We start from the raw sequence: 25,726 nt of genomic DNA, 5'->3' as shown, positions 1-25,726 counted from the left end.
ATGGATTCAGTAACTATAAATATGTATTAAGAACATGCCCCAGTGGAAAAATTTTACTTGGGGTTACTTCTCAGTGAGTTTTAAGAAACACAATCAAGCCCATTAATGTACTTTTGTAAATTATATGTAAACAGCTGGTGCAAAGCAGAAATTCTAGGCGAAATGAAAAGGAATTCAAGTAAAAGTGCCATATGTATTCCTCTGAGGGGTTTCTCGTCTCTCAGGTCAACATTTCCAAAGGGATTTCCCCATAGGGATTTAACAACACAAGCCCCAAGTCTCCCGGCTTATGCCAGAGTGATCCGCCATAGTGTTTCTTTGCTCAGAACCCACTAGTGGCCTCCCAGGCCTCAGGATGAAGCCCGAGCCTTTTGACACATTCTCAGTTGGTCCCTACCTATACCTGCAGCCTCATCTTCTACCATCTCACCCACAATCCCCCTCGGACTCCTCAAGTGTGTCCCTTGCTGCCTTTGCATGTTTGAGTCCCCCATGCCTCCTTTTTGTTTTGTTTTGTTTTTTTGAGACAGAGTCTCACTCTGTCCCCCAGGCTGGAGTGCAGTGGCGCAATCTCGGCTCACTGCAACCTCTGCCTCCCAGGTTCAAGCGATTCTCCTGCCTCAGCCTCCTGAGTAGCTGGGATTACAGGCATGCACCACCACACCCGGCTAATTTTTGTATTTTTAGTAGAGATGGGGTTTCACTATATTGGTCAGGCTGGTCTTGAACTCCTGACCTCGTGATTCGCTCGCCTCGGCCACCCAAAGTTCTGGGATTACAGGCGTGAGCCACTGTACCCAGCCTTGTTTTGTTTTTTGAGACAGAGTCTCGCTCTGTAACCCAGCCTGAAGTACAGTGGCTGGATCTCAGCTCACTGCAACCTCTGCCTCCCTGGTTCAAGCGATTCTCCTGCCTCAGCCTCCCAAGTAGCTGGGACTTACAGGCATGCGCCACCATGCCCGGCTAATTTTTGTATTTTTAGTAGAGACGGGTTTTGCTATGTTCACCTGGTCTTGAACTTCTGACCTCAGGTGATCCGCCTGCCTCAGCCTCCCAAAGTGCTGGGATTACAGGTGTGAGCCACCACGCCTGGTCCCCCATGCCGCCTTTGTCTGCTAGGACTCAGCTAGACACCACCTCCACCAAGCAGTCTTCCCTACAGCCCCCTGCCCCCAGCACATTCGAAGAGCTAACTTCCTGTGCTTTTGTGTCTATATCCAATATCTAGTACCCCTTCTGGACTGGGGGCTCACTGGGGAGAGAGACCATGCCATTCACCTTAATATGACAGAGTTTAACACATGGTAGGTAGTTGGTAAATGTTTGCTGATTGAATGAAGGAAGTAAGAGAGAACAAAGGGCGATTTTTCAGAGAACAGAGGATTCAGGATGGTGCAGGCCTGTCTCCTGACTTCATAGCACCGCGGTCCGCAGGTAATAGTGATAGCCATGGGTTATATACAAACACACAGTGTAGCTATGAAAAGTAGGCTCATGAACCCATTTTACAGGCTGTGAAACCAAGGCTTGGGGAGGCTGTGGGTCATCAGGGCTAGGAGATGGTGAGCCGAGGCTGAAAGCTGTAGGTCCTCTAATCCTGAGTCCTGTGACTTAAGGATGAGGTCCTCCCCTTGCCTCTGAGCCGCTTCAGCGGGGCTCTTTCAGGTCTGCACCTGCCTGTGGGGAAAAGAGCAGCTCTGTGTTTCTGTGTCTAATGCAGTTTCCATCCAACAAAGGACGCAGTTGAGAGAGCTCCCCAAGGCTAAGGCGGGTCCAGGTCAGAAGTCTGAACACACACTGGAGAAACGTTTGACTCCATAGCAAGGAACCCAGGGCTGAAACCCTCACCCTTGGAGCTGACGTCCCCCAGGCTGCTAAGGGGGGGGGGGTGCCACACCCTCTCTCACAGGACTCCAAAGTTGCCCACTACTCATGCCCTTGGTGGGTCCAACACTATCACAAATGGACCCCTGCTTTCCCCAAATCTTAATTGATTAAAGAAGCAAAGTGACAAGTTTCATCTGAATCTAAGGTTGCAGAATGAGATCTGTAACACTGTCACAAGTTGCGGGGAGGCGGGTGGGGGACCCGCCATTCAGGGAGGAGAGGGAGGACCGGGCAGATAAGAGATCTCATCCCCAGACAGATAACGGGGCTAAAATGACAAAGGAGCTGGGAGCCATTGCTGGCACTTTGAGAAAAAGGAAGAGCATATTAAAATTTAAACAAAGCCCACCCCAGGGGAAACATGCAGCCTCCTTCTCCCAAACTGCGCCTCTCATTTCCAACACACATGAGGCGTCAGGTTCACAGAAACCGAAACGTCCCTCATCTCAAGGGGCTGGGGTTTGTGTTTTTGTTTTTTGTAACCCATCCCGGCAGCAGCTGGCATGCTGTGTCTCCCCGGGGGCGGGGAGGCAGTTCGGGCCTCCACCAGCCCCCATGGCCTTCTTGGCAGAACTGAGAAGAAAGGGTGGGCTGGGCTTGGGCCTCAGCTGGGACAGCCCTGCCTGGACGGAAGGGTGCAGGGGCGTTGGTAGCAGAGCTGGAGGAGGGAAGGGGCTGTGAGGTGCCTGGATGTGCCCAGTCCTGAAGGTGGGCACCAGTCTAGGTCCCGGCAGGAGAGAAAAGGGAAGAAAGAAGCTCAGCCCACAGGAAGGGCCCCAGAGGCCCCATGAAGAATGCGCTGTCACGCAGGAGGAAGACAGCGGAAAAGGAGGAAGAGCCGGTCAGCAGTGGGAACAGGAAGGTCCGATTTAGACCACGTAAATGCTACTTCCTCAGTAATTCCATCAAACTTCCCTCTGTTCCCCACACCAAGTGATGACGAAGAACTGGGCTTCAAGGGGCTGAAAGTCTGGGCAGAGGCACTTCCTTGGCCTGGACTCCTGGGCTAGAGTCTGAGGCCTCCACAGGAAATCCTCGGCTCCCCCACTCACCGCCCCCCAATAAGCACCAACCTAGTCTCTGGATTAGGGCAGGATGTTTGTTTAGGAGCATTCTCTTGGAAGAAAGACCAGCCTAAGTTCTCTGACAGACTCTGGAATCCTCAAAGCCAGCTCTCTGTCCCGGGCACCCTAACGGCTGGCACCAGAGAAGGTTACCCTGGGGAGCCACAGGCCTGCAGCTTCCTGGGGTCATGGGAGGCAAGACAGGGTCTCTGGGCCCAGCCCTCGCACTCCCATTGTAAAGCGACGGGCCAGGATGACAGACTCCCTTTCCTAGGTCAGCTGTGCCCGGAGTCTCTCAGGCCCTTCCTTGCCATTTACTCTCAGCCAACCTGTATGACCCGTGAGAAACATTAGGAAACAGAGGTCTGAAAGACTCACAACCATGTTTAAAAGAATGGGAGTTAGTATTTGGCTAAACAGAATCCAAATATGATACAATGTGTCTGGGGGCAATTTACCCATCTAGACGAACAGCCTTTAGAATGTGTCCTTGGCCCAGTGATTCTCTTCTGGAGATGTATCCCAAGGAAATAACCAAGTCTGTGGGCAAATATACCCAAGGATGTTTACCACAGCATTCTTTACAAGACAGAAACAGAGGAAACAAGCTAAATGTAGGAGATTGGTTAAATAAATGATAGTCCATCTGTTCAAAAGAACTATACAACCCTTTAAAGTGACTTGACGGAGGCTGCTTAACCTGATGGAAATTTTAATCACATGTTGTAAAGTAAAAGCAAAAAAAAAAAAAAAAAAAAAAGAAAGAAAAAGTAATAAGATGGTACAAACAGTATGATCTCATCTTTTGAAATTGAAAAATATTCTGGGGGGGCTATACAATATACTAAAATATTAATAATTATAGGTGGTTTTTATCTTTTTTGCCTACTTATAGTCCCTAAATTTTCTGCAATAATCATCAACCTCTTTGTAGCAAGAAAAAAAAATCAATAAAAGCTATTTTCTAAAAAACAAAAGGAAGAGATACAAGATCCAAGAGACTGTTCATTCCTTGGGCATTCAAATCTAAGATGGATTAAAAAACAAACAAACAAACAAAAAACCACTAGACAGAGACATCTTAAATCCACCTAAGAATATTTAAGAATATTTTCAAGGTGGTTTCCAGGACAGGGAAATTAGAATCCTCCAGAAGGCCCTACTGAGCACAGGAAGACTGAGAGCCACCAGCAGGGAGACACATCCTCCAGCAACGTCCATGAAGACCCAGGGCCCAGCTTTCCTGTGTGGGCCCTTCCAGTCACTGTAGCTGAGTGGGGAGGTGAGGGGCAGGCAGGGGCCAAGGTGCAAAAAGGCAAAGCAGACATGACCTCTGTCCTGGTTTACGGAAAGGGCAATGGCCGTTTCTTTAGACAGTGAATTCAAAGAGGAGGCGAAAAAAGGCCAGTTCTTAATCTGAGATTTGTTAATCTAGGTGGCGACAAGAAATGAATTTTTACAACCACGGTAGGAAAACCCCAGCTGGGCGCGGTGGCTCACGCCTGTAATCTCAGCACTTTGGGAGGCCACGGTAGGCGGATCACCTGAAGTCAGGAGTTCAAGACCAGCCTGCCAACATGGTGAAACCCCGGCTCTACTAAAAATACAAAAAGTAGCTGGGTGTGGTGGCACACGCCTGTGATCCCAGCTATTCAGGAAGCTGAGGCAGGTGAACTGCTTGAATCCGGGAGGCGGAGGTTGCAGTGAGTCGAGATCACGCCACTGTCCTCCAGTCTGGGTGACAGAGCAAGACTCCATTTCAAAAAAAAAAAAAAAAGAAAAAAGAAAAGAAAAGCCCCAAAACAGGGATTTGGAAGAGAAATTCTAACAAGCTCTGTAATTGAAGCAAAAGAACACAGCTGATGTTACACAGAAGTTTTTCTGGGGGAGACAGAACACAAGAAGATGATGGAGCAGAATGCTGGGTAGGACGTCCAGAGCGCTCACAGCACACTGTGAGTGAGAAGCTAGCCTTTGCTAAGAGAGATGCCCTGGAGCCCAAGGAAGGAGATTCCATAGGGCATGGCCTTAATTATTCAAGCACCAGGAAAACCTGAGGAGCAGTGGGGAGGTGTCTCAATGTTGCCGGTCCCTTTATGATCAAAAGCCAAAAGCTTTAAAGTCTATTTCAGATATCAAAATGCATCCATTTGGGAACCGTTTCCTGGGTGCTTCCCATCCATTCTCGAATTCTGCAAACAACTGGGCACTGATGAGTATAAACTTTCCAGGGGAACAGCACCATGCTGTTCAAGACACTCCCACCTTCACCAAGTAACCAAACAAAAGTGGACAGGATGGGTCATTAGGATGCATCCCTTGCAAGATGCCAAGCAGTATAGTGACAGGATGTTGGACATGCCAGCTCAGGCCCACAGATCCCGAAAACTTCCTACCCCCGAGAGCATTCCTCAGCCCAAAAGGACCCTGCTTCTTTCTTAAAGAATGATGACTCCAAGTTAGAAAATAAATATGGCACCACACACAAGGACAGCCGGAGCTGGATGATTTTGTATCTCTTAAAGACATCAAATTCTTCCCCTGGTGAAGCTATAGCCTGTAAATTACAGCCTTGTATTATATATGGCCAACACTTTCAGCTTTGTTCTCCATACAGCATTTCTCATCAGCAAGGAGGAAGCAGTCAATACCCTACTTTGAAAAACAGCACAGGTGGTTCTGGGAAACAAATAATAAAAATGCACCTCTCCCTCCCTTTAATTAAAGACATGCTATCCAATGGCACTTCTGAATAGAAAAATATTTTTAAAAAGTTATTCTCCCAGAATCTTCCAAGTACCAAGTGCCTTTACCCCTAAAAAGTTCCCTGCCATAAAACAAAGTGAATGCACCAGCTTAGGGAGCCAGGAAATGCTCCCTCAGCACCTGGCAGCAGCTGGCACCTACCTGAGGCCAGTTTACAGACAGAAAGAAAAGCTCCCTTGAAATAACGCTAAGGTTCAGACATTCTGATAAAAGCTGGGAACTTCAAAGGCAGGACTGCAGAGCCAATCCGTAATCCTCCTCGAAGTGTCTGATGTGGCTGGCTGGGCTCTGGGCTTGCCTTTACCACCTACTGCCTGAGCTTTTGCCCCGTAGGCACAAGCCAGCTGCAGAGGCAGGAGTGGAAGTTTCTTTACAGTCACTCCCTTTGCAGAGATGGGTCTAGGCTATGGTGTATGGCCATTTGTCCTTGACCAATGAAATGTTGGTTAAAAAAAACAAGAGGCCAGGCACAGTGGCCCACGCCTATAATCCTTGGGAAGCCAAGGTGGAAGAATCACTGAGGCCGTTAGCTTGAGACCAGCACAGACCCCACCTCTACAAAAAATTTAAAAATGAGCCAGGCATGATGGTACATGCCTGTAGTCCCAGCTACTTGGGAGGCCGAGGCAGGAGGATCACTTGAGCCCAGGAGTTTGAGGCTGCAGTGAGCTATGATCGTACCACTGCATTCTAGCGTGGGTGACAGAGTGAGACCTGTCTCAAAAAAATAAAATAAATATAAGAAAGCAAGAAAAGAAAACTGACAGAGATGAGTCCAATGGCTCTGGAGTCAGGACTGAATTCAATGCCAGGTTCCAAGGCTAACTCTCTCCATGAACTTGGGCAAGTCATTTCAGACTTCTGAGCTTCAGTTTCTCGGTCTAAAAATGATAACCTTGCACCAGTTTCTGGAGAGTATTAACTGAAATCGTCTATGTGAAAATGCAGAGCAAAGGTGAAAGACTTCTTCCCCACCTCCGCCTACCCTCCTTTCTTTCTACCCATCCTTTTTTCCTTCTTTAAAAAAAATTATTAGGTAGTATGTGCACAAGGTACAAGATTCAAAATACAGAAAAAGATACACCATGAAAAGTCAGCCCCGACTGTGGGAAACCACTGTTACCAGCCTCCTAGATATCCTTGCGGAGCTACTGCATAAGCAGGCATTCTATCCCTCTCTCTCACTTAAAATGTCTTAGTTGGTACATAGTGTACATTGGTACATAGGGCGTGTCCATTCTTTATTACAACTGCACAGAATTGCATCGTATGGCATTGGGCGCGGTGACTCACGCCTGTAATCCCAACACTTTGGGAGGCTGAAGGGGGGATTGCTTGAGTCCAGGAGTTCGAGACCAGCCTGGGCAATATAGTGAGACCTTGTCTCTACAAAAAATTTAAAAATTAGCTGGGTGGGTTTTCTCAGTATTTACGGGCATGCGCCTGTGTTCCCAGATACTTGGGAAGCTGAGGTGGGAGGATCGCTTAAGCCTGGGAGGTCGAGGCTGCAGCGGGCTGTGACTGCGCCATTGCACTCCAGCCTGGATGACAAGAGCAAGACCCCGTCTCAAAAAAAAAAAAAAAAAGAATTGCATTGTATGGTGGCTGGATAATTTATTTACCAGTTCTCTAGTGACGGACATTCTGGCTGTTTCCTTTCTCTTTTCCTTTTACAAGCAATGATGCAATTAACTATCTTGAAAAATGCATCATTTCACACATGTACAATTTATCTGTTAAGAGAAATTTCCAAAAGAGAAATTGCCCGTGCACTTTTAATTTTAATAACTATTGCCAGAATTTCCTCCATAAAAGTTGTACTGATTTACACCTCTATCAACAACTATGAGAGTATCTGTTCCCCACCAACACATCTCCACAGAAAACTTGTGTTTCTCTTATTGCTAGTGGGCTCTCACATTCTCATATGGTTCAGAACCTTTTCTGTGAACTGTCTGTGTTTTTAGCCTGCTTTAAAAATTTGGTTGATGGGCCAGGCGCAGTGGCTCATGCCTGTAATCCCAGCACTTTGGGAGGCTGAGGCGGGTGGATCACCTGAGGTCAAGAGTTCAAGACCAGCTTGACCAACATGGAGAAACCCCATCTCTACTAAAAGTACAAAATTAGCTGGGGTAGTGGTGCATGCCTGTAATCCCAGCTACTCAGGAGGCTGAGGCAGGAGAATCGCTTGAACCTGGAAGACAGAGGCTGCGGTGAGGCAAGATCGCGCCATTGTACTTCAGCCTGGGCAACAAGAGCAAAACTCCATCTCAAAAAAAAAAAAAAAAAAATTCAGTTGATGGTCTTTTTCTTAATGACTTGTAGGAACTCTTTAGATATTAAGGAAATGGAAATGAGCTCCATGATATATGTTGCAAAAATGCTTTCCCAATTTTGAGAACTGGGAGACTCCTTTGATTTTATGATGGATTCTGCCAAGAAGAAATTCTTTACTTGCATAGGGTCAAATATATTAATTTTTTCTCTTATGACTTCTGGGTTTTAAGTCATTCTTAGAAAGTACTTTCTCCAAGTTCATTTTTAAAAATATTTACCATCTTTAACCCAACTGAAATTTATTTTGTTTTAATGTGTTCGTTTTTTAGATGGCCATCTAGTTAAACCAGGTCATAATTTTTTAAATGCCATCTTTTTTTTTTTTTTTTTTTAAGAGATAGGGTCTCACTATGTTTCCCAGACTGGATTCAAACTCCCGGGTACAACTGATCCTCCCACCTCAGCCTCTAGTGTAGCTGGGATTACAGGAACACACCATCATGCCTGGTTCTGCCATCTTTATTTTATATTAACCCATCTTGAAGTCCCTTCTCCTTCCTCTCTTCCAACTCATGCCCAGTTACCTCAGAATTACACTCTTTCTTACCACAGCCCTCCCATCCCTTCATTCAATTTGTGAGTCAAGAGTTGATCCATGGTACTGTGACTGACAGCCACACAGCTGCATCGGATGTCAGTGTCTTAGAACAAGTAGAGACCTCAGAGCATCCTTTCATTTTACAGCTAAGGATACTGAGATCCAAAGAGGTAAACTGGCTTTGTCCAAGACCGGGGGTGCTTGGGCTTGTGATTTTTTTTTTTTTTATTACTATTCAAAAAGAAGAGAAGTACTGGTTTTGCCATAAATTCTATTTGATCAATAAATATCTATGAAACAACTACTCTGCACAACAGTGAGCCAGGAACTGGGGCTCCAGAAATAAATGATACAGCTCTGGGCTTTCAAAAAGCTCAGAATCCAGTGTGGGGTCCGAACGTGTACACTCACAGACTAATAGGTAATGCAACAGTGGCCTGTGAACGCTGTGAATGTGGAAAGACCAGATAATTTTGCAACATATGGTGTGGGGAAGGCTCAAGAGATACTGAGTTTTTAATTGGACCTGAAATGATTAGGACTTTGACCAAAAATCGAGAGAAGGCATTTGGCAATATAGCGACAATGGGACAAAGGAGAGCGTCTGGTGATATGTATTCAGGAAGGAAGTAATCTTAGTGTTAGCTGTGGGTGGAGTTTTAAAAAAAAGGTTCCTCTGAGAATCTGTGGTCATTGGCAGGCTCTTATGTGGGTTTAGGTTCTGGTTGTCAAAACTGCAAGCTAAGAATTATAGAGAAATGAATCCATCTGTAGGCCCTTCAGGTACCTAGCAGAAGGAAACACACATCCTCCCTGAGAAGGGACTCTCATCCTATACCTCAAAGAATTCTCACAGATAGAATCCTAATAAGCATAAGCTTGCAATCAAAAATCACACAACACCTGGCCAGGCACAGTGGTCACACCTGTAATACCAGTACTTTGGGAGGCCAAGGTGGGCAGATCACTTGAGGTCAGAAGTCCGAGACCAGCCTGGCCAACATGGTGAAACCCCATCTCTACTACAAATACAAAACTTAGCCAGGCATGGTGGTGGACACACCTGTAATCCCAGCTCCTCAGGAGACTGAGCCAGGAGAATCACTTGAACCCGGGGGAGGTGGAGGTTGCAGCAAGCCGAGATTGTGCCACTGCACTCCAGCCTGGGCAACAAGAATGAAACTCCATCTCAAATGAATAACTAAATAAATAAACAAACAAAAAGCAAAAATCACAGAACACCTAAGGAACACACCCTCATGAGTGGAAGTCAGCAGAAGCATCAAACAATACAACTATAATTGCAAATACTTTAGATATTAGATTTATTGGATACAGAATACAAAATAAACGTGTTTAATATGATTAAAGAAATAAAGTGAGGAATTAAAAAACACAAGGAGTAAGAGATTGTTTTTTAAAAGACCGAGCATATTTGAAAAATAATAAAATAGAAACCCAGAAATAAAAAAAAATAATCATTCACATTACAAGCTCAATGGATGAGCATCAAAAATAACAACTGCAATGGAGTAAAACACATTAGATATATTAAATCTATGAGTTAATATTGATATTAAAAATACCTCAGTGAAGGGCTAAACAGGGATTAGAGATAACTAAAGAGAGAATTAGTGACCTAGAAAACAAGAAATTACCCCTTCATTGCTCTGTTCATGGAAAAAAAAATTACCCTGAAAACACCCGGAATAAAAAAAGATTAAAAATGAAAAAGTTGGCCAGGCATGGAGGCTCACGCCTGTAATCCCAGCACTTTGGGAGGCCGAGGCGGGTGGATCACAAGGTCAGGGGATCGAGACTATCCTGGCTAACACGGTGAAACCCCGTCTCTACTAAAAATACAAAAAATCAGCCAGGTGTGGTGGCGGTTGCCTGTAGTCCAGGGGAATGGTGTGAACCCGGGGGGCGGAGCTTGCAGTGAGCCAAGATTGTGCCACTGCACTCCAGCCTGGGAGACAGAGCAAGACTACAAAAAAAAAAAAAAAAAAAAAAAAATGCACACTCAAAACAACCACAGAGAAGAATTTATCTAAGGGAACAATACTTGGGCTACCAACTTCTTTTTCTTTTTTTTTTTCTTTTGAGATGGAGTCTCCCTCTGTTGCCAGGCTGGAATGCAGTAGCGCCATCTCAGCTCACTGCAACCTCTACCTCCCGGGTTCAAGCGATTCTCATGCCTCAGCCTCCCGAGTAGCTGGGACTACAGGCACACGCCACCACACTTAGCTCATTTTTGTATTTTTAGTAGAAACAGGGTTTCACCATGTTGGCCAGGATTGTCGCAATCTCTTGACCTCATGATCCACCTGCCTCAGCCTCCCAAAGTGCTGGGGTTACGGGCGTGAGCCACCACGCCCAGCCCCCAGCTTCTTAATATCAACAATGAAAGCCTGAAGACAGTGGAATGACGCTTGTAAATACTGAGAAAATAATGGTCAGGCTAATGTTTTATACCCAGCAAAACTATCTTTTAAGAGTAAGGATGAAGCCATTATTATATATATTCTAGGCTAAAAAAAAGAAGAAGAAGAAAAAAAAGAATAAGGATGAAATAAGATTTCAGCCAAACGGACACTGAAAGCTTATGACTAAAAGACCTTTGCCACATGATGTTCTGATCCCAGAAAGAAGACCTGAGATGAAAGGGAAAATGTGAGTAAAAGGTAAATATGTGGAAAATAAAAACAAAGGATTAAGTGTATATAACATTATAATTAGAGTCCAATTTGTGGGATTAAAGACAGAAACATAAACCATTGTATGACAATGGAATGTGGGGAGGGACAGTGGTGACTTTATATAAAGCATTCTAAGGTCTTTACATTGTTTGAAAAAAATATATAGACACCAACTGAACATTACACAGTCTGCCTTTCAGGCCAGGCACGGTGGCTCACACCTGTAATCCCAACACTCTGGGAGGCCGTGGCAGGAGCATGGGTTGAGGCCAGGAGTTCGAGACCAGCCTGGGCAACATAGCCAGAACTGCCTCTAAAAAATAAAACCAGCCAGGAGTGGTGGTTCCATGCCTGTAGTCCCAACTACTCAGGAGGCTAGGCCGGGCGCAGTGGCTCACGCCTGTAATCCCAGCACTTTGGGAGGCCGAGATGGGTGGATCACGTGAGGTCAGGAGTTCAAGACCAGCCTGGGCAACATGGTGAAACCCCATCTCTACTAAAATACAAAGATTAGCCAGGCATGGTGGCACATGCCTGTAATCCCAGCTATTTGGGAGGCTGAGGCAGGAGAATTACTTGAACCCAGGAGGCAGAGGGTGCAGTGAGCCGAGATTGCACCATTGCACTCCAGCCTGAGCAACAGAGTGAGACTCCGTCTCAAAAAAAAAAAAAAAAAAAACAAAAAACCAACAACAATAAAAAACAGAAGTTCAAATTCAAGGCCAACTACTCAAGAGGCTGAGGAGAGAGAATTACTTGAGCCCAGTAAATCAAGGTTACAGTAAGCTATGATCCTGCCACTACACTCCCACCTGGGTGACACAGCAAGATCCTTTCTCTAAAAATAAAAAATTTTTAAAAAGAGTATATGAGTTTCAAAGCAGTAGAGAAAAAACGGACTGAAGGAAAGAAAAAAATCTTTCAATCAATTCAAAAGAATGAACAGAAGAATCAGAAAAAGAACACATAGAAAACACCAAATACGATGGTAGAAAGAAATCTGCATCCTGTTTTGGCCAGGTGCGGTGGCTCACACTGTAATCCCAGCGCTATGGGAGGCTGAGGCAAGTGGATAGCCTGAGCTCAGGGTTCAAGACCAGCCTGGGCAACATGGAAAAACCCCATCTCTACAAAAAATAAAAAAAATAAAAATTAGCCAGCTGTGGTGGTGCATGCCTGTGGTCCCAGCTACTTGGGAGGCGGAGGTGGGAGGATCACTTGAGCCTAGGAGGCGGAGGTTGCAGTGAGCTGAGATCTGCCACTGCACTCCAGCCGAGGTGACAGAGTGAGACCCTGTCTCAAAAAAAAGAAATCCATCTATTTCCAAAACCATAACAAATGCAAATGGCTTGAACTCTCTGGTTAAAGAGCACAGATATCAGACTAGATTAAAAACAAAAGGAAATCCAGCCCTAGGCTGTCTACAGGAGACATGAGGACAGGGATCATAGGCCAAGAGTCCTATACAGGCTGAAACCACAGTCATGGTAGGTAAGCAAGTAGCAATGAACTGTGGCCAAGGCACCAAAGCATAGCAACAGGAAAGAATGGTACAAAAAAACAGATGAGAGAGGTAGGAAAAGGACCCAGAGTGATGAGCCAGACCCAAGGTGGAGAAGACTATTCATGACAATAACTGCTATGGAGAAGTCAGGTAAGAGGAAGTCACAAGATGGGCCACCGGGCAGTCAGGTAAGAGGAAGTCACACAAGATGGGCCACTGGGCATGAGTAGGTGGCCAGGGACCTCTAGGAGAGCCAGCTGGAGTGAGAGTGGGCTGGGCTGAAACGCTCCACTGTTGTTGAGCTGGCAAGGAGAAGAGGGGGAGAGAGGAAGTGGGGACAGAGTGGACTCTTCTTTGTGAAATCCTAGGGTAAAGAGAAGTGACACAGGTTGGGGTTGGGGAGGGAGAGAGAGGTGTGACTGTAGCTGTAGGTAGAGAATTAAGGCATAGGAGGATGTGGGGTGCCCAGACCTAGGGAGGAAGCCAGGGCAGGACACAGAGGAACAAGCAGTGGGGCTGATGGTGGGCACATGGGGAATGGACCAGGGAAGTGGGCACAGATTTCCCAGGTTGGGGCAGGGGTGGGCAGGGCTGCTTCAAGGAGTGCTGTGTAGTGGGAGGACAGGAAGAGTTCTGAATTTCAGAGGTGACCTGCTTCTGGGTAATGGCAAGTCTACAGTCTTGTGATTTGCAGCTACAGAATGGAGCCACGATGGGAAGCGATGGCTTGTGAGCCCAGGGCCCGAGGATCGGACATCACAGAGTGAGATTAAACTGACCAGCACTACCAGCTTCCAAAGGGTACCTGATGCTTCTCAAGGGGCCAGCTTGGACTTGGTCCTTGCGAGGACATTCTGATGTGCCCCAGGTTTTAGCCGTTGTCTTTTACCAAACACATGCAGGACAGTCTTCCCAGTCTGGAAGCCCATATCCTTGCAGTCCCACCGAGAACGGGATGGGGTCCGGGATGGCATTTCAGGTACCATCCAGAAGACAAAAACACACATAACCAAGAGTTATCACAAAAGTTATAGTTTCCCATTTAAATGCGGAGGGTGGACATTCCTGCTTTCTGTAGTGACCATTCTAACTTCATTTCGATTCCATATATATAACATGCTGGGGGCAGGGAAAGAAGAAAGGGAAAATAGTTGGGTCGCAATATGATCACTTATTCTCAGCTTCCGACTACACTAAAAATCCTCACATTTCCAACAGTTTTCTTAGTTCTCCCAGAAATAAACACACAATAGAGCATATGTATTTAATATCAGAAAATCCTTTACAATGGTGATTGCGAAAGAGACCAACCCACTTCTTTTCTTTTTTTTTTTGAGACAGGGTTTTCAGGCTGGAGTACACTGAGGCCATCATAGCTCACTGCAGCCTCAACCTCCTGGGCTCAAGCGATCCTCCCACCTCAGTCTCTTAAGTAGCTGGGACTACAGCTACACGTGCCACCGACTGATTTATAAAACTTTTTTGTAGAGACAGGGTCTCACTATGTTGCCCAGGCTGTTCTCAAACTCCTGGGCTCAAGCAATCCTCCTGCCTGGGCCTCCCAAAGTCCTGTGATTACAGGCATGAGCCACTGTGCCCGGCCTCCAACCCACTTCTAATAGTTCTTTTACTTCATGTATATATATATACATATATATATATGTATATATATATATACACACACACACACACACGTATACTATATACATATATACACATATACATATATATACACATATGTACTATACATATATATATACTACATGTATATAATAAAGATAATACATACTGGATAAAAATTCAAACAACACAAAATGAATGAGAGAAAAGACAAAAGGCCTCTGTACTTGGGGTAGGCACTAGGGATGGGGGAAGGGTCAGGTCTGTGAGCCATACACATTAATTAGTAGGTAATAAAAAACAGTTGTTTTACCTTTTGAAGCTGCTGATTCAACATATATTTGGCTGTGCTTTGGCTGTAACATCCTTTAATCCCTCCCTTTCAGAATCTACCCCAATTTCCTGTTGCCACCTTACCTCCCTGATTTAAGGGTGCAATTCTTCAAGTGCCTTCTTTCCAATTCTAGAATTTTTAATTTAGCCTTTGGTGCGGCAGCAGTTTTGTTTTCTAATTACTTTCTTTGCAAACAAGCATGAGTTGGGCCCAACAGTGATACAGGCTTTCATGGGCTAGCCTGGCAACCTGGAGCTATTCACAAGGTGCTTCCTTGGGAAAATGCTTTCTATGTTTTACATGAACAACTGGGGAGATGCTTACTTGTAAAGTGGGGGTGGGGGTGAGCCTCTTCATCTGTGCTACCAAAAAAGAGCTCGCCCCTAGTCCTGCTTGCCCTGTTACTAGGGTAGGCTTTGCAACCAGCGACTCTGGGACCCCAGTGCCTGGGTTCTAATCCTGGCTCTGAGGCTTACTAGATCTGTGACCTCCAGAAAGGTATTCAACCTAAATGAGCTAACAGTATGTATAAAGTGTTTACAATTATGCCTGGCATATCGCATGTGCTGTATAACAAGAGAGTTGGGTGAGGTTAGTCCAGTAAGACATTTGACAAATTCTTAGAGCCGCAATCTCCCTTGAGGCCAGTGAAAGCTACGGCTCCTCTTCCCAGAAAAGTGCACACATGTAACCTTCTGCACAGTTTCAAGTACCCCTGACCCTTGAAGCCCACCCACACACTGCAAGAGTCCAGGACCCCTGATTTCAACCGTCTGGTCTTCTCTACAGTGATGTGAAGGTCTCAGGGATAAAACTCTGAGGCAATTCTTAAAAGTATTATGTTCCCATGCATGGAACTATTGAGCAGGTGCCTCTCTCTCCCCGTTTTAGGTTCCGCTTTTGGCAGAAACGTTACACCTTTCCTCCCCAAAGCCCTTTTGACCCTTGCCAGTTTTTCTCTTGCTTCAGGCCAAATCCTCCCAGGGTCACCTTAAGACAATCTCTGTGTGCAGCTCCACACACTTTTAGGGAATTATTCTGATCCTTATCAAAAGCTCTGATGGTTCAGCCCATCTTCAGTGCTTACAGAAGTCAGACCAGAGCATGGACTAGAGTCTGCAGGGTCTCCATCAACAGCAACACAGGGGTGGGTCACCCTCAACAAGCAGGTAGACAGCACAAACTGGAAAAAGCCAAACATCAGAGAAGTCACCCCAGGGTGACTTTCCCAGCGTCACCCAATGAGCTCCCAGCAAAGCTGAGAACCTGTCATTTCAGTACTTTTGAGTCCATCAGTGCTTTACAGACATTACCATGCATGTGAATTAAAATGCAGATCCAGTAGGTTTGCTGAGGAGCCCAGGGCTCTGCATCTCTAACTCACTACCAGGTAACGCTGATGCTGGTCCATGGACCACATATGGAGTGGCAAGGTTCACATCAAGGTTAATGAACTGTACCACCCTGGTTAAAGCCTCTTCATCCACACTGCAGGTGGCTATTTAAATGTCCTTTCTTCAGGAAAGCCTCCCCTCCCCCTCTCCATGATTACTGGCTTCTATGCCTCTGTACTTTTTCCTTTGAAGCATTTATAACCACTGTAATTAAAGAGTATTTGTGTAATTATTAGTTTAATGCCTGCCTCCCAGGGAGACTGCAAGCTTCACGAGGACGGGACCTGCACAGTGTCTAGCACATCACAGACTGCCAATGAATGAGGAGCTGCTGTGGTCTGGAACAGGCTGGGCCAGCATCCTGGAGCAGGCAGGTAATGTTTACACATGTGGCAAACAGCCTCTGGTGGTATCAAGGCCAAAAAGGACATTTCTTAGTTTTAAAATTCCCACTAGTTTCAAATATATGCCAACTAAACTTTAACCTGAAAAGCAATCTTTGCCCATAAAAAGATCTCCTACATCTTTATCAAGTGCAAAATAGCCCTAATCTCACAACAGCCACTCTGCTTGAGGAACAGTTAGGCCCCTAAAATAAGCATTCCCTTATAGGCCTCACTGGGTGAACCCTCTTCAGGCACACTCCCTGACCAGCCTCCCTCTGCTGCAGACCCACAATTTCTTCTTTAGTTTTTCTGCTGCTGTCCTTCCAAGGAACCCCAAAGTGCTGAACGCCCAACTCTTTGGCATGGGCAGAGACATATGACCACATCATCGTTCCTGAGAGGCAAAGTTTGAAGTTAGACAGCCTGGGTTTAGATACCAGCTCTGTGCCCTTGGACAAGTTATTTAACTCCTCTGCCAAATGAGGATAAGAATGCAAGAGCCAGCACCTGCAAGAACTAAGAGAGACAAATACACAAAGCACGTAGCATAATTCTGGCCTAAGACACATGATTATTATTATTCTCCCTATATTCTGAGTCCAATTCAAAACCTATTGTTTTAGGCCGGGTGCAGTGGCTCACGCCTGTAATCCCAGCACTTTGGGAGGCCGAGGCGGGCAGATCACGAGGTGAAGAGATCGAGACCATCCTGGCCAACCTGGTGAAACCCCGTCTCTACTAAAAATATAAAAATTAGGCTGGGTGTAGTGGCGCATGCCTGTAGTCCCAGCTACTCAGGAGGCTGAGGCAGGAGAATCGCTTGAAGCCAGGAGGCGAAGGTTGCAGTGAGCTGAGATCGCGCCACTGCACTCCAGCCTGGTGAAAGAGTGAGACTCCGTCTCAAAAAAAGAAAAAAAAAATCTAAAAAAACCTATTGTTTTGCACAAGTCTCCACCCAGGGGCTCCACCCCATTCAGGATCCTCTCTTCCCAGCCCCCTCCTGCCTCACCTGTCTGGAGCTTGTTTGAAGCAATGACTCACAGCACAACTCTGCAGCTCCCATCAATCACCTCCCTGTCCCTGCCTGTGTCATTCATGGGTTCCTTCTGGCAGGCAAATCTTCCCTAATGTCCAGTACATTCATTCAGCAAGTATCTACTGAGGGCCCACTATAGATCAGACCCTATTCTAGGCACAGGGGCTCCGCAATGAACAAAGCAAAGACGTCTACCCTCACAAACGTTCTAGTACATTTAACCCACAGATGGAAATCAGTTCAGGTCTTGGGTCCTTACACTCCTTCTCTTCTCTCCTGACCAATCCTAAATAAATCACATACAAGTCAAAGTATGAAGAAAGCATTCCAGATCAAAAAATGGTGTGATGTGAGAAAATCCCGATGACTAAACTGCTTCTCTGATTGTTGGACTTTGAAGAAGTCAGTGTTGAAACAGCCTGAATCACCCAGTTCCCCCTAGTTGTCTCACTGGCCAGTCACATCCTCCAGCACAGTTTCTGTAACACATCTGGAAAATGAGGCGCTCCATTTACCCAACTCGTGTGCGGCGTGAGCGCACGGTTTCATGCTCTCATAGCTACATTCTTTGAAGTGAGCTTGATTCGGGATCCCCAGCAGTAGCAGAGACAGTGGCCTTGTAGAAACAGCACTGGGAACAGGCTCTGAAAGCTCAGGTTGAGTGCTGGCTCTGCCACTTACTGTGTAATCCTGGGTACAGAGCTTTCTTCCTGCCTCAGTTGCTTTCAGACAATCTCTAAGGCCTTCTTCCAGCTTTGAAGTCAAAGGGCTGGGAGCAAGCACCATTAACAGCAGGCCCAGCACATTCACAGATTCCTTATTTCAACATAATGAGTCCTGCCGCGGGCTAGGCCCTGGCTAGGCCTGAGGAACGAGGGTATGGGAGGGGTCAGCAAGCCAGATTATGAGCCTGCGCCAAGCATCAGCACTGGTGGGGCCAGGGAGCTGACTTCACTTGTCTCCTCCAAGATGCGCTGGACTCCTCCTTTATTTATTTATTTACTCCCTTCTAGAAAGAAGTTGTGCTTCTTTCCAAACACAACTCTGCTAGAAATATCTCTGGGCCACAAGGCAAACCTAAAATAGAAGTGCAAAATCTCTGGTGGTCCCATTAGTCTCCCTTCCTCCAACTCAAAAACCATTCCAGACCTTGTCTGTCTCCTTGTCTCTAGACAGTGAGCCTAAAATAAGTCTCCCTGGTAGGAAATGCCTGGTTGGAATGGAAATGACCCAAGCCCTGGAAAAATGGCCCGCTGACCACACACCGTGGGCTGAGGACTCACCCAGGTATCAGCTCTGAGAAGACAAGCAAGTGAGCCCGCGTCCCACTTCAACTCACTGCAGCCCCCTCCACCAAGACACAGGCAACCAGGCCAGGCTGGAGGAAGAAAATGTGACCCAAACATCCAATTCCCCCTACCCAAAAGAAAGCAGCTCTATCCCCACGGCCCTCATGCAGGAAAGCCAGCTCCAGAAGGTCACTGGGGCACCAGGTGGGCACCTCTCTGGAGCTACAGATGACCGATCAGAGGTTCTGCTCCGAGACTGGCAGGTACCCAGCACAGTTACCCTGGCCTGAGGGTCAGCTAATAAAACCAATGAGAAAGTATAGAAAATAACATTCTCTTTAAAACAAATGAGAAAGGAATGGCCACTCTAGGTTTTCAGAAGTCAAAACCAGATAGCCCCATCGGCTTTGATCACATTAGGAATACACTGTCTCTTATCTAACGAGTTAAGAACGGTTTTCTTCTTCCCTTCTCCCACGTGGCCCCATTGGTTCTCTAGGCCCCCTGGTGAAGATGCAATAGGGACACAGACCCCCAGCCCTCTACTTGGCAGAAATGAACTTTGACTGGTTTTACTTACACGTGTACAAATGCAGGACTGAGAGGGCAGCTTCAAAGCTGGCTGAGTGACCCCCAAGAGCACAAAGTCCTTCTCCGCACACCTGTGGGGGAGTTTTGTGAATTTCCCAGATGCCCACAGGGACTAGTTATGTACACTGCAGGTCGATACCGGCCGGGAGTTTCCATTTTGCACAGCAAGAAAGGTGCTCAGGGTGCCCTTTGCAGGTGGGCACTCGGCCTGCAGCTCAAGGGTGGGCCATGACGTTGGTCCCTCACTGGATTGCCCGGCAGGCCTCCCTCAGACCCAGTAGGACGAGTACCTCGAAGAGTCCTTGTGATCCCAGCACTTTGGGAGGCCGGGGCGGGCGGATCACGAGGTCAGGAGTTTGAGACCAGCCTGGCCAATATGGTGAAACCCCGTCTCTCCTAAAAATAATTAAAAATTAAACGGGCGTGGTGGCGTGCGCCTGTAGTCCCAGCTATTGGGGAGGTTGAGGCAGGAGAATCGCTTGAACCCGGGAGACGGAGGCTGCAGTGAGCCGAGATCGCGCCACTGCACTCCAGCCTGGGCGACAGAGCAAGACTCCATATCAAGAAAAAAGAAAAGGCACCCCGGATACTGCTACGCCTTGCCCTAACCGTCTCGCAAATCCTAGAGATACATGAATGACCCTTTCAGGTTGGTTAAAATCCACACAAGCACCTCCCTGGCCTCTTAAATCTTTCCAAACTACAGCTTAGACTGGAGGGAAGCAGTTGCAGCGCCCATAAAAGTCATCTTAAAAGGCAAGTTGGAAAAAAACCCGATACGCACTAGTTAGCAAGTCCGCGGTGAAGGGGGCGGTGGCCCAAGGGCCGGATCTGCGGGATCTGTGCGCCTAGGGTGGGGAGGCTGGGGCTGCCCCGTCGGTCCCCGAGCCCGCGCGCCCACCTGGTAGCCTGAGGGCCCCGATCTGACGCTGGTGCTCACGCCCCACAGCTCCATCCAATTAGGAAAATGACCGCGAGAAGACGGAGAGAGGGCGACGAGGAGGAAGGGGGGCTGAGCCGCGGGAGGCTCAAGACGGGCCGTAGGGACCCCGCCCGCCACCCCCACCCCCACGCCCCCAGACAGCGAGCGCCGGTCCTGGGTCCCCGGCCCGCGGCGCCCCGACGCTGTCCCGGCGGAGATCCCGCGGCGCCCAGCGTGCGGCGGCCAGTGGCCCTCGGGGACGCCCCCAGCCCCGCCAGCGGCGCGCTCAGCTCTCCCCCACCCCCGGCCGGCTGGGACGCGCAACAACCCCACCCGCTCCGAGAATAAAGTTTGTGGGCAGCCGTAGGGGCGGGGCGGCGAGGGGGTGAAACTTTGAGTCCCGGGCCGGGTGTGGGGGGAGCGCACCCAGCACCGGGACACCCACGTGCGGGCCCGAGAGCCTCCGCCACCGTCGCCTCCCGGGCCTCCCGCGCCGCCGCCGCCGCCGCCGCGACGCTTTCCTTTCATTTTTGCCTCTCTCTCTCTCTCTCTCTCTCTCTCTCTCATTCGCGCGCTCTCCTCCCTCTCGCCCTCTTTCGCTCGCTCCCTCCCTCTCCCTTCCCCCTCCCCCTCCTCTCCCTCCCCCCCACCCCAGACGCCATCTCTCCCTCTTTCCCCGGCTCTCCCTCTCTCCCTCCAGCTCTCCGGCATGAGGGAATGTGGAAGTGAAAGGAAAAGACGACATGTTTGCAGCGCGGCGCGGGCCTGCGCGCGGCCGTCCCCAGGGAGAGGCGGGGGGCGGGTCGGCCGCGGCCGCAGCGACCCACCCCCGCGCCCCCCGCGCCCCCGCCGGCCGGCAGCGCGGGGCTGCGGGGCTGGGGCTGGGGCTGGGGCGGGGGGCCGCGCGGGACACTCACCCTGGGTCCGGGCGCGGCTCCTGCGCTGGGGCCCTCGGCGGGCCGGGCCGGGCCGGGCCGGGGGCTCCTGGCTGCCCACCGCCCGGGCTGCTGCTGTGCGCCCGCCGCCCGCCTCCACGCGCGCCCGCCGCCTGCTCCTGCCGCCCTCCCTCCGGCTCCTCTCTTTCTCTCTCTCCCCCCTCCTCTCGCTCGCTCTCTCGCTCGCGCTCTCTCCCTCCCTGGAAGAAGGGAATGAGGCAGGGCTGACGTGAAGGGATGCAAAACAGCTCCTCCTAAGCCAGCTCGCAGAGGAAGAGAGAGACAGAAAAGCAGCCCTTTTATCTCTCTTTTGTTTTCTCACTTCCTTCCACCCCCAACACCTCCCTCTTGTCAGCCCAAGTTTTCTTTTCTCTTTCTACCGCAGAGGATTTTTCTTCCTTTCTTTCTCTTTCTTTCGGTTCAACTCTCCCACTCGAATTGAAAGCCTGAAGGGTTTTCTTTCTCCTGTTTTTTTCTTCCCTCTTTTCTTCCTTCTTCCTCCTTTCTTATTTCTCTAAAAGGGTTTTGTTTGCTGTGGGAGTTTCGTTTGAAAATCAAGTCACGCCTTTTTTCCTTCTTTTCTTTCTTTCTCTCTCTCTCTTTTTTTTTTCTCCTCTCAGCAGAAAAGGGGAACAAAGATTAACTGAAGCGGGGAAGAGGCAGACCTCGCTTGGAAATGGGGGGCCCGGCCCTGTCCGGTACAAAGGGGGCCCGGGGGCCCTGCGCCCCGCCCCCCCCAAGGGAAGCCAGGGGCGTCCTCTGGAGAGGAGAGCCGGTGCGGGTGTTGGGGCACGGGTGCGGCTCCTGGGTGCCGGTTCCTTCCCAAGTGCGAGCGAGGGCCGCCGAGCCCGCCCCTCCCCAGCCAGAGGTGGCAAGCTGGGTGTGTGTGCTTCACTTATGTATTTTTAAAGTAGGCAGATGGGCCTGGAACAAACATCCCCGCAGAGCACTGAACAGCAAAAGCCTTTAAACAGCTGTTAGCAGAGCCCTGGACGGCCTGACTCGAGGGAGCGGCGCGGGCTCCGAGCGCCAGGGCCCGGGTGGAGAAGGGGCTCAGGGCAGCTGCTGGGATCGGCGGGCTGGCGGGGTCCCCGAGCCCAGGGCCTGGGCCTCGGCCCCGGGGCGCACTGCTGGGGGGCGCCGAGGCGTGGTCGCTGGCAGCGCGGCCGTCAGGTCCCTCTCGGCTCCCTGAGGGGCCGCGGGGTTTGGCACAGCCTCGCCGCCCTCCAGCTCCGGCGCAGGCCGGACACCAGGCCTCCAACCTCCAGAACACCCGCCACTCCGAGCCGTTTCTCGACTGCAACGCAGGGCGGGTCCGGAGCCCTCGGACAGAGCCGGGCAGTGCCGCCAGGAAGGGTCAATTATTCATGGGGCGCCCGGGCGTGCTCCCAAGACCTGCTCTGTCCTCGGGTTCTCCGGAGGAGTGGGGAGAAGACGGGGGAAAGTTCCCAAAGCAAAGTTGGTCACATTTGTCATTTTCCCAAGTAAGTATTGAGCACCTGCTGGATGCCGGGCCCTCGGACTGGGGCTGCAGCCAGGGGGAGAAACGTGAGGTCTCGGTGGGCCCCGAGAGCAAACTCAGGGAACAATGCAAGGGAAGCTGCGGCTCAGGACCAGGTCACCGGGAGGAAGGAAAGCCTGGATCCTCTCCCCTCCCTCTTCCCTTCCTTCCCTTCCCTTCCTTCCTCCCGGCTGCATCTCCTTGGCTCCACCCCTTCTCCTCATCAATTCCTCCCACACTTCCCTGCTCTCCCTGGCTTTTCACTGAAGGGTCCCTTCTCCCAGGGAGGAGCAGATGCTGAGCCCCATTGTCTCTCCCCCAGTGACTGCAGCCTCCCGGGGACACGACCTGCCACTCCTCACCCCTCCCCCCAGCCCTGAGCCCTGGGCCTTTAGAAACGAGAGCCCCAAGGCCACGGCCCCTCGCCCCACCCTAAACCAGCTCCTGGTGCTCTGAGCTATGACTCCAGTCACTCAGAACACATTTGTCTCTGACGAGGAGTGAGGAAACAGTAGCCTGAGAGTTTGGTTCAACAAGAAGGACACCATGGTCTTTTAACATCAGCACCCTGAGCCCCCAATGACCCCAGGGCCTTTGCCCAGGTCTGCAGGAAACCACATTTCCGTCATCACTTGCAGCCTCCCACTTAGTACACCCAAGCTGCATCCTCCAAAAAAGCAGAATGCAGCTCTTAGAGCCAAGCATGCACTTAACAAATGCCTACTGAGTACCTACCCCGTGCCGGCGAAGGTGCTGGCTGCTGAGGACCGAATCATCAGCAAGACGCAGTCCTTGCTTTGGCCTTTGGCTTTGCAGGCGAAGGAGCAAGAAAAGAAGACAGCAACCTCAGTGCCATGCGATACAGGCAAGAGTGAACCAAGAAAGCTCCTAAGAGGGTGCTTGGACTAAGGTGGTCAGGTGTGGCTTCCTGGAGGAGGTCGTGTCTAGATTAGGCTGTGCTAGCCAAATGCATGGGAGAGAACAGTCTGTCCAAAGGCCCCAGGGCAAGACGGCACATTATTACAGGTTCTTAGAACTGTCAAGAGTTGAAGTGTTTACTGCAGCTTAGAATACAAGTGGGTGGGGGGAGAGTGAGGATAGAGCACAAGTGGGAAAAAGGGGAGGGTGTCAGGGAAATATTCAGATTTTAGCCCCTCCCACTTGCTAACTTCATGAATGTAAATGAATAACATAACTTCAGTGAATAACTTCGACTTAATTTCGGGACATATAAAATGCAGGTAAGAAGACCTGTGGATTGCAGAGACAGTGTCTTAGTTTAAGGGCCCAGGCTTACCTGCTGCATATTCCTGGGCAAGTCAACCTCTCTAACTTTTCTGTAAAATAGGGATAAAAATACCTGCTTCACAGTTTGTTGTGAGGCTCAAACCCCACACCTAGCATGGTGTCCGGTACATAAGCACCAATCCCCGGTAGCTTTTATTTACTATTACTACAAATCAGGGAGTGACTGGGTAGTGCCCCGATGACCTGGAAATAAGATTACGTTCAGGGTTGAAACCAGAGTGACTCACCACACCAGAAACATGATGAGCTGACTGAGGGGGAAGCATTCCTTCAAAGATGACCAGTGTCCCACTGGGAGGCTGGGATTGGTGAACACCACATCCGATCAAGATGGCCAGGTGGCTTCTCAGGAACATGACCAGAGCTTGATGACTGGTTATCAAGGCCCAGCCTGATCAGCAGAGTTGTAGCCTGCCTGAGGAACAAATAGGAATCAGGAGAGGATGGGCCTCATGAAATCCAGGAAGGCCCCTGGGAGCAGGCACCTGGCTATGTTTGCTCAGGAGAGAGACGTAATCACAGAAGTTTGCACTGGAGGAGCAGGGGAGGGATAGGGGGTGATTATTGACTTCTCCACAACGTGATTTAAAGCTCCCAAAACCTCTTAGTCCTTTGGTTGGATTATTGGTTCTCCAAGTGACCTGCACATGAACTTGGCACCAGCCAAATGCCCTCAAGGATCCAGGCAGATACCACAGCTCCAGTTCCTGCTTTGTAAACATTTTACACTTCTATTATTTCTTTCGTGAGTGGGAGTCTCGCTCTGTCACCCATGCTGGAGTGCAGTGGCACGATCTTGGCTCACTGCAACCTCCGCCTCCTGGGTTCAAGCGATTCTCTTGCCTCAGCCTCTCGAGTAGCTGGGATTACAGGTATGTGCCACCACACCCAGCTAATTTTTTTTTTATTTTTAGTAGAGACAGGGTTTTGCCCTGTTGACCAGGCTGGTCTCAAACTCCTGACCTCAGGGGATCTGCCTGCCTCGGCCTCCCAAAGTGCTAGGATTACAGGCATGAGCCACTGCGCCCAGCCCTCTGTTATTTCTTTACAACACAAGTTCATTGTGAAAGAATTCGAAAACGAACCCTATCTAGAGACATATTTCGGTGTATATCCTTGGACATTTTATATCCTAGTGGCTACATGTAAGTGCACACCATAATAAAACTGTACAAAGTCAATATCATTAAGCAAATGATGACTCTATGTATAAGCATGTTATTTTTACAAAATTAACAAAAATGGCATAACACTACACCTACTGAATTGCAGCTACTTTCACCCGGTATATGTCACAAATTATCTTCTGGTCTGTAAACATCCACATTCTTCTTTGGATACAGGGTCTTGCTCTGTCAGCCAGGTTGGATTACAGTGGCATGATCATAGCTCACTGCAGCCTCGAACTTCTGGGCTCAAGCCATCCTCCCACCTCAACCTCCCGAGTAACTAGGGTTACATTTGTGTGCCACCATGCTCGGCTGTATTTTTTCTTTTTGTTTTTTGGTACAGACTGGGTCTTGCTATGTTGCCCAGGCTGGTCTCGAACTCCTAGGTTCAAGCAATCCTCCTGCCTCAGCCTCTCAAAGTGTGGGGATTACTGGCATAAGCCACC

The 25,726-nt window shown here is 49.0% G+C and overlaps 1 protein-coding gene and 1 non-coding gene across 12 annotated transcripts in view, besides 6 other annotated features; both read right to left on the bottom strand.

Moving 5' to 3' along the window:
* ZNF710 (zinc finger protein 710) overlaps positions 1-24,592 on the bottom strand; it is an 83,885-nt gene extending 59,293 nt beyond the window's left edge. For 3 of the 11 annotated variants that reach the window (XM_011521543.4, XM_047432483.1, XM_047432482.1), the window contains exon 1: positions 23,539-23,676. In XM_011521543.4, coding sequence (XP_011519845.2) covers positions 23,539-23,579 — 41 coding nt within the window. In that variant the 5' untranslated portion in view covers positions 23,580-23,676. Of the gene's footprint in view, positions 1-19,434; positions 19,483-20,229; positions 20,495-21,284; positions 21,576-23,538; positions 23,677-24,338 lie in introns of those variants that run through there. The other 8 variants (NM_198526.4, XM_005254907.5, XM_047432488.1 and 5 more) reach the window with 6 other exon arrangements.
* On the bottom strand, positions 16,058-16,144 carry MIR3174 (microRNA 3174). Its single transcript, NR_036135.1, has one exon. It is a non-coding gene; the product is annotated as a microRNA 3174 (primary transcript).
* Positions 19,226-19,993: an enhancer, noted in NCBI's record as "H3K4me1 hESC enhancer chr15:90546138-90546905 (GRCh37/hg19 assembly coordinates)". NCBI's record gives its function as "activates a minimal SCP1, AML or CMV promoter by ChIP-STARR-seq in naive and primed H9 embryonic stem cells {active_cell/tissue: H9 hESC(naive and primed)}" and the evidence as "EXISTENCE:reporter gene assay evidence [ECO:0000049][PMID:30033119]".
* Positions 19,994-20,762: an enhancer, noted in NCBI's record as "H3K27ac-H3K4me1 hESC enhancer chr15:90545369-90546137 (GRCh37/hg19 assembly coordinates)". NCBI's record gives its function as "activates a minimal SCP1, AML or CMV promoter by ChIP-STARR-seq in primed H9 embryonic stem cells {active_cell/tissue: H9 hESC(primed)}" and the evidence as "EXISTENCE:reporter gene assay evidence [ECO:0000049][PMID:30033119]".
* Positions 19,994-20,961: a biological region, named in NCBI's record as "H3K27ac-H3K4me1 hESC enhancer GRCh37_chr15:90545369-90546137".
* Positions 20,462-20,961: a silencer, noted in NCBI's record as "silent region_6808". NCBI's record gives its function as "represses an Ori minimal core promoter by ATAC-STARR-seq in GM12878 lymphoblastoid cells {active_cell/tissue: GM12878}" and the evidence as "EXISTENCE:reporter gene assay evidence [ECO:0000049][PMID:35858748]".
* Positions 21,377-21,545: a silencer, noted in NCBI's record as "fragment chr15:90544586-90544754 (GRCh37/hg19 assembly coordinates)". NCBI's record gives its function as "represses an EF-1alpha promoter that drives an FKBP-Casp9 reporter gene in an ReSE screen in K562 erythroleukemia cells {active_cell/tissue: K562}" and the evidence as "EXISTENCE:reporter gene assay evidence [ECO:0000049][PMID:32094911]".
* Positions 21,954-22,123: a silencer, noted in NCBI's record as "silent region_6807". NCBI's record gives its function as "represses an Ori minimal core promoter by ATAC-STARR-seq in GM12878 lymphoblastoid cells {active_cell/tissue: GM12878}" and the evidence as "EXISTENCE:reporter gene assay evidence [ECO:0000049][PMID:35858748]".
* Positions 24,593-25,726: the final 1,134 nt, after the last annotated feature.

This window comes from Homo sapiens, chromosome 15 (genome assembly GCF_000001405.40).
Source record: "Homo sapiens chromosome 15, GRCh38.p14 Primary Assembly".
In the NCBI taxonomy this organism is placed as follows: domain Eukaryota; kingdom Metazoa; phylum Chordata; class Mammalia; order Primates; family Hominidae; genus Homo; species Homo sapiens.
The sequence above is the reverse complement of the archived record's forward strand: the minus strand, read 5'-3'. Positions and strand labels throughout refer to the sequence as shown.